The sequence below is a fragment of the Homo sapiens genome, chromosome X (genome assembly GCF_000001405.40).
Source record: "Homo sapiens chromosome X, GRCh38.p14 Primary Assembly".
Lineage (NCBI taxonomy): Eukaryota > Metazoa > Chordata > Mammalia > Primates > Hominidae > Homo > Homo sapiens.
Window position 1 is genome coordinate 3,182,639 of NC_000023.11, and position 13,897 is coordinate 3,196,535.

Genomic DNA, 13,897 nt, shown 5'->3' on the forward strand with positions numbered 1-13,897 from the left:
AGTGCTCAAGATCTCAGGAAACCACCAGAAGAGAGGGAGGAAGCATGAGACAGTCTCTCCTTCGGAGACTCAGAGGAACTGACATGGTTTGGCTCTGTGTCCCCACCCAAATCTCATCTCCAGTTGTAATCCCCATAATCCCCACAGGTCAAGGGCAGGACCAGGTGGAGGCAATTGTATCATGGAGGTGGTTTCTCCCATATGCTGTTCTTGTGATAGTGAGTGAGTTCTCACGAGATCTGATGGTATTGTAAGAGTCTGGCATTTCCCGTTTGCACTAACTCCATCCTGCCGCCCTGTGACGAAGATGTCTGCTTCTCTTTCACCTTCTGCCATGATTGTAAGTTTCCTGAGGCCTTCCCAGCCATGCAGAATTGACTGTGAGTCAATTAAATCTCTTTCCTCTATAAATTACCCAGTCTTGGGTATTTCTTCATAACAGTGTGAGAACAGACTAATACAGGAACCAACCCTGTCAACTTTTTTCCATATATATATATATATATATATATAATGTGTATATATACACATATGTATTTATGTGTATGTATATATACATAAAATATGTGTATGCATAAAATTTGTGTATATATACATAAAATGTGTGTGTGTATATATATATATATACACATACTTTTTTTTCCCATAAAATCTAGACCCTGCACAACCTGCCAAACCTTGATCTCAGACTTCCCTGCTGACCTGTGTATGTGACATTACAGCCAAACATTTTCTGTCCTCTCTGCTTTTATAGTTGAGCATCTTTCTAGGACAAAACTGTAGGATTATTTTGCCTACTATGAACTTCTGGAAGAGTTTATCTGGATGAAATAGAAGGAAAAAAAATAGGAGATAGATCAAGGGGTGTGATCTTTCAGCTTGCGTCCCAACCCAGGTGATATGGTTTGGCTGTGCCCCCACCCAAATCTCATTTTGAATTGTAGCTCCGGTAATACCCATGTGCTGTGGGAGGGACCCAGTGAGAGATAATTAAATCATGGGGGTGGTTTCCTCCATACTGTTCTCATGATAGTGAATAAGTCTTACAAGATCTGCTGGTTTTATAAGGGGTTTCCTCTTCCACTTGACTCTCATTGTCTCTTGCCTGCTGCCATGTAAGATGTGCCTTTTGCCTTCCACCATGATTGTGAAGCCTCCCCAGCCATGTGGAACTGTGAGTTCATTAAACCTCTTTTTCTTTATAAATTACCCAGTCTGAGGTATGTTATATCAGCAGAGTGAAAACGGACTAATACACCAGGCCAGTGGAAATTGTGCAAAGGAGTTTGAACTCATCTTCTTTGCTTTGTGTAGAAGAAATCTCAGTATAGAGGCAGAATCTGCCTCCCTCGAGATTAAGACAGCAGGGAAGAGAGGCAGCCCCCCTTCCCTGAAGGCAGGTCAGAATGAGGACATACTCAGTTTGGGACCCAACTTTCTCAAGAGAAAAAGTCATTCCTTCTCCCCTGGGATGAGGAAAAGATGAGCATGAGAGTTGAAGAGGTTTCTTGGGAGAAGTGGAGGGGTTTCTCCTATACTTTTTCCCCTGGAGAGTAAAATAACCACACTCTCCCTAGGAAAACATTCATTTTTTTCCTACAGCACGTCAGATCTGTTAACGAATGTTTTACTTTGAACTCGGGCCATTGCAAAATCATCAGCCTGAAAGAGCGGATACTCTTGCATTGGAATTCACTAATGTTCAGTTTGTTTACAATGTGGCTTTCCTGTCCAGTGTTTTAAAATTCCACATGTATAACTGACCCTCGGAGAACAGTTCCATTGCTTAGAGAACTTAGCAGGGTAACCCCATTGGGCAGCAGGATGACAGTAGCTTTGCACACTGAAAAAGAAACAAAACAGATTAATAAATAGGGAAAGGCTTTGATGATGAGCTCACCAATAGAGGTGGAGAGAAGGGAGGGAGAGTTTAAAAAGTGCTGGAGGCTTCTATCCTGGGGCTGGGGAGACTTTGATGAGGACACAGGCTCAGTTGGGTTCTGTTTGGCAGATACACTTAAGGAGGAACTAGGAAAAAACCAAAAAGGCCCTGGAGGCTTCCAAGGAAATGTCTCTGTTGCAATACTTTGGCTGCAAGATATTTTCTTCTGTCCCCAGCCAGAAGGAGCAATCCTGGTGCTTAAATAAAAAGGCATGAAGGCCCAAAGTGGCTCTTGACTTGCCAAGGCAGTATTACAGAGAATTAAGCCCTACCTTAGGGCATGCCAGGAGCCTGCTGGAGGTGTCAGTGTTACTGGAAAAGAGGCCCAACCCAGACCCCAAGAGAAGGTTCTTGGAACTCGTACAAGAAAGAATTCTGGGTGAGTCCATAAAGTAAAGTGAAAGCAAGTTTATTAAGAAAGTAAAGGAATAAATGAATGGCTACTCCACAGACAGAGCAGCCCCGAGGGCGAGGGCTGCTGGTTGCCCATTTGTATGGTGATTTCTTGATGATATGCTAAACAAGGGGTGGATCATTCATGCCTCCCCCTTTTAGAGCTCATAGGGTAACTTCCTGACCTTGCCGTGGCATTGGTAAACTGTCATGGTGCTGGTGGATGTATAGCAGTGAGGATGCCCAGAGGTCAGTCTCGTCGGCATCTTGGTTTTGGTGGGCTTTGGCCGGCTTCTTTGCTACCATCTGTTTTATCAGCCAGGTCCTTACGACCTGTATCTCATGCTGACCTCCAATCTCATATTGTGACTTAGAATGTCTTAACTTCCTGGGAATGCAGTCCAGCAGGTCTTAGCCTTATTTTACCCAGCCCCTATTCAAGATGGAGTTGCTCTGGTTCAAACACCTCCGACAGGTGCAGCAGAGAATGTTTACAGCAGGGAAACTGTTCTGTATGAGGCTATACTGGTGGATACATGTGATTATGTATTTGTCAAAACCTATAGAATGTGCAACACAGTAAACCTTAATGTAAATTCTGGGCTTTTGGGGTTATGTTATGAACCCAGTGTGTGTTCATCATTGTAACAAATGTTCATTGTAACAAATGTACTGCTCTAGTCGGGGATGTTCATAGTGGGGGAGGCTGTTTGGGAAGAGGGCAGAGAGTATCTGAGAAATCTTTGTATCTTCCGCTCACTTTTGCCGTGAACCTAAAACTGCTCTAAAAAAACAGTCTTTTAAAAAAGAAAGAAAAGAAAAGAAAAAGAGTGCAGACATGTTATAGCATGGGTGATCCCCAAAAGAGAATGCTTAGTCAAAGAAGCCAGTCACAAAATGTGTCCAGAGTTGGTTCCTTCTGGTGGGTTCGTGGTCTCACTTCAAGAATGAAGCCGCGGACCTTCGCGGTGAGTGTTACAGCTCTTAAAGATGGCACGGACCAAAAGAGTGAGTGGTAGCAAGGTTATTGTGAAGAGGAGGTCGAGGCTGCTGTGAGCCATGTTCACATCCAGCCTGGGCAACAGAGCAAGACCCTGTCTCAAAATAATTATGATAATAATAATAAGATTAGCTTTGCATAGTTTATCAGACAAGAAAACTACAAATAAGTAACTACAGCACATATTCTCAGAGAGAGAGAGTTCTTTTGCGGGGAGATGTCTTTCGTGGTTTTTGTTATTTGCCAACTGGAAGGCCCAGTAGGCTGGAAGAATTTACCCTAAAGGGGTTCAGAGGACAAGTATACTGCTATGTTCTTTTTAGGAGGCTTTTGGAGAATTAATTCTTCAAATTTAGAGTTATTTCTAGTTTATGTTTTTGTTTTGTTTTGTTTTTGAGACAAAGTCTCCCTCCCTCCCCAGGCTGGAGTGCAGTGGCGTGATCTTGGCTCACTGCAGCCTCAAACTCCTGGGCTCCAACGATTCTCCCACCTCAGCCTCCCAAGTGGCTGGGACCACAGGCATGCACTACCATGCTAAAAAAATAATTTTTTGTATTTTTTGTAGAGACAGGGTCTCACTGTGTTGCCTAGACTGGTCTCAAACTCCTAGCCTTAAGCGATCCTCCCAACTCAGCCTCCCAAATTGCTGGAAGTATAGGCATGAGCCACTGTGTACAGCCAGCCGTTTTTAGTTATTTCACAGTAACTAAAAAGTTGATTCTGAAAATACATGAGAGTTTGCTTTTAAGGTGTTGGCTTTGAGGTACAGTTATGCTTGCTGCGTTGAGCACACGTGCACTTGTATTGTTACCTGAGGAGCAGCAATACTAATGTGGCCATGGAAAACGTAGAGGTGGTCTTCCCAACCTAGGCCACCTGCCAACAGGACCCTTCTTCCACTCCCTAGGGTGGGTTCCCTCTGTCCTTCCTCCCCTGGTTCCTGTGAAAATGGTCAGAGGAGAAAAAGGGGTTACTGTATGGGTGCAGGATCTTCTTTGCTGCGTGTTTTAGGGGGCGCTGCAGACATCTCAGTATGGTCCATGTTCTCCTGCACATTTAGGGCTTCGGAGGGGTGATTGCCACAGCTCAGGCTAGAGTGCATCACCCAAAGTAACTCTCAGCCTATAAACTGCACTTTTACAAGCAGATTATAGACCCGTAGCATTGGCATGTTTGATACGTCTGAACACAGAACTCTGATAGTAAAATCTCAACATGATTCTTGCTGGACAGGCCAGTTCTCTCTGTGTATATTCTAGGTTTTGAGAAACCACAACCAGAGCCCCCTGGCTCCACGTCCACCATGGTTTTTCCCTTGAATGGTGCTCCCAGAAGCTTTCTGGGTTACACACTAGTGGTGTCTCTGGATTTAGTCGTGAAGTTCCTGGAAAAAATTCCTTTTCCCTAGGCTACTGGTGTGAGTTAAATTCTACTAGGAGTTCCTCTGGGCTGTTTCACTTCGTTATTTAAATTTTAAAAAATATTTTAATTTTTTGTAACTTTTATGTTTTTTAAATGTTGTTTTAGATTCAGGGGCACACATGCAGCTTTGTTACATGGTTATATTGTCTGACAGTGAGTTTTGGGATTCTAGTGTACCCATGGTCTGAATAGTGTACATTGTACCCATGAAGTAATTTTTCATCCTTCACCTCCTTCCCACCCTTCTGAGTCTGCAGTGTCTATTATTCCACTCTCTGTGTCTATGTGCATGCCTATTTACCTCCCACTTAGAAGCAGAAACCTGCAGTGGCTCTTATTTCCATCTTTATGTCCATGTGTACCCAGTGTTTAGCTTCTACTTACACATGAAAACGTATGGCATTTCATTTACTGCTTCTGAGTCATTTCACTTAGAATAATGGCCTCCAGCTCCATCCGTGTTGCTGCAAAAGACATGGTTTTATTCTTTTTTATGGCTGTGTAGTATTCCATGGTGCTTGAATGTACATATGTATGTACATGGGTGCACAGATGTATGTACATACATGCACCATGGAATACCACGCAGCCATAACAAATAATAAATTTTAAAAATATCTATCTCTATACCTCTATATATCTATACATCTATATATCCATACATATCTATATATCTATACTTCTATATATCTATACATATCTATATATCTATGCCTCTATATATCTATATATCTATACATATCTATATATCTGTACCTCTATATACCTGTTATTAGGTTGGTGCAAAAGTAATTGTGGCTTTTTCTGTTACTTTTAATGTGAAAAACTGCAATTACTTTTGCATCAACCTAATATACATGTATGCATATCTATGTCTGTCTATATACATACACACCACATTTTCTTGATCCAATCATCTGCTAATGGACACTTAGGTTGATTCCATGACTTTGCTATTACGAATTGTGCTGTGATAAACATAAGAGTGAAGGTGTCTTTTTGATATAATGATTACTCTTCTTTTGCATAGATAAAAGTCCTAGAAAAAACTCTTCCATGTTTTAACATCCAATCCTGTCTCACCAACCGTGGCTCAGAAACCACTATTGCTTTCTGGATTAGAAAAACTCATCCAGTTCTTGTGGATTACACACTAGGAACCAGTTTTCTGCAAAAAGCAAACTACTCCAGAGAACAGTCCTCTTGGTATCGTTCCAGTTCATGAACAGCCATTGAAAATGATGACGAAGGTGGTCATTTCAACGCCAGCTTGCTGTGGTTTCGAAACAGCAGAGCACGAATGAAGCCCAACTAAGCCCTCGGTGTGTTAATCCAATGATGATGTCTTCACCCCACATCACCTTCTTTATCCCAACAATATTCCCGAGGCAATACAAGAAAAAAGGTGTATCCGTTTCCTGGCCATTCGTGGGTATATTTTAGCCTCAAAAGGGGCATGTGGACATGAAAATAGGCTCTTTCAGAGTAGGGGAATTTATCTTCACTAAAAATTTGGATCTTTTGTTAATCACAATTTTTTTCATTCACTTTGATTTTTTATGATATGGAATTAAAGTATTTCATATTTTGACCACTGAAGTTTTGGTGCCCACTGAAATTTTGTGCTCAAAGCAGTTGGCTCAATTTCCCCACCCTAGCCCTGTCCTGGGCACCACTGCTGGCTAAAAATTCTATTTATACATACATATATATTATGTTTTTAGACATATAGCGTTTGTACATATAAAAAATTATGTATATGTGTATGCATGTATGTACATATATAGATGGTCCCTCATTTAAGATGGGTTCAACTTACAGTTCATTTTTTATTATTTTTTTTAAGACAGGATCTTCCTTTGTGGCCCAGGCTAGAGTGCAGTGGTGCAATGATGGCTCACTGCAGACTCAACTTGCTGAGCTCAGGGATCCTCCTGCCTCAACCTCTCAAGTAGCTGGGGCTGCAGGTGTGAGCCACCATGCCTGGCTAAATTTTTATTTTTTGTAGAGACAGGATCTCACTATATGGCCCAGACCAGTCTCAAACTCCTGGTCTCAAGCAATCCTCCTGACTCTGCCTCTCAAAACAATAGGATTACAAGTGTGAGTTACCACACCTGGCCCAGATATTCTTAACATTTTTGTTTTTTAAATAGAGATGAGGTCTTCCTATGTTATCCAGACTGGTCTTGAACTCCTGGCCTCAAGCAATCTTCCTGCCTTGGCATCTCAAAGCACTGGGATTACAGGCATGAGCCACCACACCCAGCCAATTTAGGACTTTTTTGTTTTTATGATAGGTTTATCAGGATGTAACCCTATTGTTAAACATGTAACCCTATTGTTAAACAAACAGTATCTGGACTTAACGAAGGTTCAAATTACAATATTTCAACTTTATAATGGTTTTATCAATGCGTTACCCCATTGTAAATCTAGGAGCTTCTGTATACATCTGTGTATATATATATATATATATATATATATATATATATATACACACAGATTAAAAATTACATATATATACATGTTATATTTTATGCATATACATATGTCTATCTTATATAGTTGCTTAAAATGTTATACATAAATAAAAGATATATATATATAAATTAAATATCATGTATAGAGTTGGTTAAAATTTTATATGTGCATGTAAACTACATTTTATATATATATATATACACTATATATATAATATTTTAATATTATCGTCAGCTGTGGTGCCTAGGGCAGGGCTAGAATGTCTAATGACACAATCTCATCAGGCACAAATTTCAGGAGGTACCAAAAAACTGAAACTAAACTCCATAGTCACGATACTGATAAATATTCAAGACGTATATAATGTTTTAATTATACACACACATACAGACAGTGCTAAGAGACCATTAGCTTTTTTCTCATAATTTAGACAAAACCACTTTTGCAGTGGGCCCTGCTGTGAAAGTAAAGGGTTAATGTTGCTCAAAGAGGGGTGGGGCATTTGCCCCCAGCTCCTGAGAGGTGCACACTAGCCTTGGAATGTCCTGCCTAGTAGGAATGTGTTTATGTACTGGGGGACCTGGGGTAACTGGACAATCTAGCAATGTGATTTAGGGTAGAGGGGGCTATTCATAGCAGAGATTTTTAGAGTATGAGATGGACATACTAGGTGTTAACAATATGGTTAAGGGTGGGAGCTTTGGGTCTTGAAGTATCAGCTCAGACCTCTGGAGAGGCTACAGATTGAGGTCAACTCTGTGGGCCATTGACTGTGGAGCCCCAGCTGAAGACTCTGAACACTGGGGTTTGGGCTAGCTACCCTGGTTGGCAATGCTTCAGGCATTCTGCACAAGCTAAGACTGTGAGGCTCCGTGCTGTCCACAACTCCACAAGGAAAGGACAGAAGGAGCTCTGTGTCTGCAACTTTTCCTGGATTCTATCTGTCCCACATCCCTCTTCTCTTGGCTGCTATGTCAATCTGTATCCTTGCCACGTAATAAACCATAACCATGAGTGTAATGGTGAGGTCTGTCATCCTATCCAAAGAGCCAAACTGAGGGTTGTCTTGGGGACCCCAAAATTTGCAGTTGATGTCAGAACAGTGGGTGGTCATATGGGGATTGTCCCCTCTAACAATGAACTTGACCAACCCTTACACCTACCCTGTCTTAGTTGGAATGCATGAAATGGAGACTTTAGACATTCCTTTCAATCTTGGATGTTATGATTTTATCAAAACAAAGTCTATTATTTTTCTTTGCAGGTGACAGAGAGAGAGAGAGAGAGAGAGAGAGAGAGAGAAAGAAACAGAGAGAAAGAAAAAGAAAAAAAAGAAAAAGCAAGTAAGAAAACATGAGATTGGGCAAGACAGAGCCCATCTCATTTCTCTGTGATTTGGAGGTATCGAATAAGATTCTAATAAGAACTGTGTGGTATGATTGGAATTCAAACTATCAACCTTGAAGTTGATGACAGTGCATAACGGGCTTTTGGTTTGCACATCTTTCTGGTAATTTATCCTCTTTAGTTCCTTGTCTCCACACATCTGCTTGTGCTTAGATCCAAAGGAAGAGACATTAGGAGGCTATAATTTATTTTTCAGGGAGGAATTAGGAAGTGAACCAATGTCCCATTACATTTGCATCAGTTTTTGATTAAAACACACACACGCCACACACATTTCTCACACTGTGAGCACCCCACACTCTTGTGTGGGTATTTTTGTTGTTAATTAAATTTGTTTCTAAATAGACTTCCATCCTAACCTGGCTTTCATGCTTAGAAAGACAAGTGATAAACTGCAATAACCCTTTCACATACTTTGATACAAATGGTTTTAAACAGTTGGGAAGATTAAGAACAAAGAAAGCTTTTAAAAAAAATTTCTGAACCTCCAAAGGTTTTGACCATTTCCTCATTATTATTTTGTCTGCTTTGCACATGATGAAATCAGAAATGGGTTATAAGGTAGAACTGTAGTTCTGACTTTCCAAGAAAAATAGTGGACAAAACCTGAAGACAATTTTCAGATGCAGGATTTTTGTGGGTGATGCAGTGTGCGAGGGTTATGGCACCATTAATCCTTGTACTGTGGGCTGGTGGGGGCCAGCATGGTCTGGCGATTGCCAGGTGGATTGAAACCACAGTCTCAGATTTCAGGGAATGGCTTCTTTCAGTAACGCCTACACCCACATGCCATGTGGCTGGAAGAGCTGCGGAGGGGCAGAATAAACCATTTTTTAATTTGCTGCCTTGAGAAAGATGCACACATCCACTTCAATACCATCGTTTTTATAAACCCAGGCAAATATTTCAGAAGTGTGTGGAGCGTAGGCGACAAGTTGCATTCATGGCTGAGTTACTGATGTTTTAATAGAGCCAATGTTGACTTGGCATAATTTTTATGCTTCATAAACACAATTTATTTTACCGACAAAATGGAGTCCTGCAACAATTTTGCTCTGGAGGAATCTGCTGGGTGAAGCAATACAAATTCTGAGCCTCTTGCATTGAATAAATCTTGGAGATTTGAAAATTCTTATGATTTGACCATTTTTATTCATTCAAAAAAAATGGTGGCTTATGCCTGTAATCCCAGCACTTTGGGAGGCTGATGTAGGTAGAACACTTGAGGTCAGGAGTTCAAGACCAGCCTGGCCAGCATGGTGAAACCCCTTCTCTACTAAAAACACAAAAATTAGCAGGTCGTGGTGGTGCATGTCCGTAATCTCAGCTACTTGGGAGGCTGAGGCAGGAGAATCGCTTGAACCCAGGAAGTGGAGGTTACAGTGAGCCGAGATTGTACCACTGCATTCCAGCCTGGGCAACAGAACGAGATTCTGTCTCAAAAAAAAAAAAATTGCCACATAAACATAATCAAGTATTTGTTTTTTTTTCACAATGGCGAGGGAGACATTTCCAACACAGCATGTATCTTTTATATTTTTACTGGCTTCTGAATTTTTCCCACAACAAAGACATCTTGTTAGACTCTACTCTCATGAAAGTATATTATGCTTGACAAGGTGCCATTGAAGACCTTTGCAGCTGTATCATTAAATGATACATTTATTACAATTCCTGAAGTCTCTGCAACCTCAGATACAATAACCTAGCACATTGGTTGCTCAAAAGTAAATTGACGTCCAAATGCTGAGTTAGCACTTTGAGAAGATTACTTATTCGTTAATCTTAGAGGGGAGGACTTAGTTATTGGCATTCATAAGCGTCCTTTCAAGTAATCAATGCAGCATTTTGACATGAAAAACGGATTATGGAATTTTCCATGAGAAAGTGTGAAGAAGGATTTGATTTTCTTAAGTGCATCTAAAGAAGCTAACATTGGTTTGGAATCGATCCTCTTAACCACAAATATGATTGCTTTATTACAACTTAGGGAAATTAAAAGAAAAATAAAATACGTCTCCCAAAACAATAGCATGGCTTGAGAGAAAATCTGAGCGCAACAAATTTCATTAGTCTTCTCAGGTTTTGAATGACTTCTTAAATATTTGAATCTTCATTAGTTTATTACTGTGGTTGGGAAACAATGCCTTTATAATGTTAATTGAGCACACTGTTTCTGGAATTCTGTAAGCTAAGAAGCCAAGTTGGTGGAGGATGACATCTTGCAAATGACTCAAGGAGACTGGACACAAAAACATTCATGCATTAGAAATCAGGGGTTCAACATGCATGCATATGTTCATTGCAGCACTGTTCTTAATAGCAAAGACATGGAATCAACCTAAATGCCCATCAATGGTAGACTGGATAAAGAAAATGTGGTACATACGTACCATGAGATGCATATACAGCCATAAAAGAGAATGAGATGCTTTGCTGGGAGATGGAAGGAGCTGGAGGCCATTATCCTTAGCAAACTAGCACAGGACCAGAAAACCAAATGCTGCATGCTCTCACTTGTAAGTGGGAGCTAAAGGATGAGAACACATGGACACATAGAGGGGAACAACACACACTGGGGTCTTTTGGAGGGAGGAGGGAGAGGATCAGGAAAAACAACTAATGGGTACTAGGCTTAATATCTGGGTGACAAAATAATCTGTACAACAAATCCCCATGATATTAGTTTATCTATGTAACAAACCTGCACTTTTACCCCTGAACCCTTAAGTAGGCCTTGGCATCTGTTGTTCCCTTCTTTGTGCCCATATATTCTCAACGTTTAGCTCCGCTTCTAAGAGAGAACGTGTGGTATTTGGTTTTCTGCGCCTGTGTTAATTTACTAAGGACAATGGCCTCTAGCTCCATCCAGGTTGCTGCAAAGGACATGATTTTGTTCTTTTTTGTGGCTGCATAGTATTCCATGGTGTATATGTACCACATTTTCCTTATCCAGTCTACCATTGATGGGCATTTAGATTGACTCCATGTCTTTGCTATTGTGAATAGTGCTGCAATGAACATACACGTGTACTTGTCTTTATGGTAGAACAATTTATATTCCTTTGGGTATATACCCAATAATGGGATTGCTGGGTGCAATGGTAGTTCTGTTTTAAGTTCTTTGAGAAATCACCAGACTGCTATCCACCAGTGGCTGAACCAATTTATATTCCCAGCAACAGTGTATAAGTGTCCTCTTTTCCCTACCACCTCACCAGCATCTGCTGGTTTATTTTATTTTATTTTTATTTTTTTAACTTTGTAGTAATGACCATTCTGACTGGTATGAGATGGTATCTCATTGTGGTTTCAATTTGCATTTTCTCTGATAATTAGTGATGTTGAGCTTTTAAAAATAGATTTGTTGGCTGTTTGTATGTCTTCTTTTGAGAAATGTCCTGTTCATGTCTTTTCCCTACTTTTTAATGGATGATATGGTGGGGCTCTGTGTCCCCACCCAAATCTCATCTTGAATTGTATTTCAAATTGGGTTGAGGGAGGGACCTGGTAGGAGGTGACTGAATCATGGGAATGGCTTCCCCCATGCTGTTCTTGAGATAGTGAGTGAATTCTCATGAGATCTGATGGTTTTATAAATAGCAGTTTTCCCTGCTCTTGCTCTCTCTCCTGCTGCCTTGTGAGGAAGGTGCCTGCTTCCCCTTTCCCTTCCACCATAATTGTAAGTTTCCTGAGGCTTCCCCAGCCTTGCGGCACTGTGAGTCAATTTAATCTCTTTTCCTTATAAATTACCCAGTCTAGGATAGTATCCTTATAGCAGTGTGAAAACAGAGTAATACAATGGAGTTATTTGTTTTTTGCCTGTTAATTTAAGTTCCTTTTGGATTCTGGATGTTAGACTTTTGTCAGATGCATAGTTTGCTAATATTTCCTTCCTTTCTGTAACAGCCTGTTCTGTTCTACAGATGAGTCCACAATTCTACATCTGTTGGGGAATAATGAAGAGAAACAAGGGGCACATTATTTTTCACCCTGTATGGAAACTATGGTGTACTTCTTGCTCTTTCACCTTCAGGCAAAATCTGATAAAATGTATCAGAGGACATTTAGTTGCCTAGAAAATTATCTTGCTCCTCCAGCTGTCTGAGATATATAATGAGATACCAACTCACACCAGTCAGAATGGCTATTACTACAAAGTTAAAAAAACAACAGTAGCTCATAATTAACTTTTATGCAAAACATAATATGAACTCCATTGAGATTGAGGTGAAATTTTTAAAATTGTCATTTTTATGAAACCTCAGTTCTTGCACAGTTTGTATTTCTTTTGAGTACTTTTTTTCTTCTGTGGTTTGGAAATGTCTTATTTGTTTGAAAGATTATATTTGTTCTCTAAGATGTAGAATGATTCCACAAAAGAGGTGGTGCAGTTAAGGTACTGGTCAGGAATTTACACTCAGTGGTCATGAGTCTTCACTTTGGAATATGTTTAAGTGTTTTAAAAATCTATTATTTGATGTTAGCATGTATTATCTCATCTAAAGACAATATGCTGAAATTATTATTGGGCAAAGGACTTTACAACTGGAAGAAAAGGGGAAGGAAGGGAGGGGGAAGGAGAAAGAAAAGAGAGTTAAAGGAAGGAAGGAGGGAGGGCAGAAAGGAGGGATGGAGGAAGGAAAAAGAAAGAAGGGAAGGAAGGGAGGGAGGAAGGAAAGAGGAAGAAAGGGAGGGAGAGTGAGGAAGAAAAGAAAGGAAGGAGGAAGAAAAAAGAAAGAAAGAAAAGAAAGAAGGAAAGAAAGAAAAAGAAAGAAAGAAAGAAAGGAAGGAAGGAGGGAGGGAGAGAGAGAAGGGAAAGGAAGAAGGGAGGGAAAGAACGAGGGAAGGAAGGAAGAAAGCAAGAAAGGAAGGAAGAAGGGAGGGAGGGAGGAAGGTGATGATGTTAAAGAGAATAAGAAAGAAACCCTATTACCACAAGAACCATTAACAAATCTAATTTTTTTTTTTTATCATAGGAGGTGCTGGCCATTCCAGGTACCATGAGGCCAATGAAATCAATGTTCTGTCCTTTCCTTCATGGTACTGACTGAAGATCTTTATCTGATGTGTTGGATCACAGGCACAGGCAGGGACAAGAGACAACTTCTACACATGTCCCAGCCTCTGCTTCACTGGGAACAAGAAGTTGCTCTGAAGGTAGGTAGGAGAATAGATTAGAGAAGGATGGGCAGCCATAAGAGAAACAGGCATTGATGTGGTTGAAATGTTTTTAAAAATATGCTTAT

The 13,897-nt window shown here is 40.4% G+C and overlaps 1 annotated feature.

Moving 5' to 3' along the window:
* Positions 2,180-2,715: an enhancer, noted in NCBI's record as "NANOG hESC enhancer chrX:3102859-3103394 (GRCh37/hg19 assembly coordinates)". NCBI's record gives its function as "activates a minimal SCP1, AML or CMV promoter by ChIP-STARR-seq in naive H9 embryonic stem cells {active_cell/tissue: H9 hESC(naive)}" and the evidence as "EXISTENCE:reporter gene assay evidence [ECO:0000049][PMID:30033119]".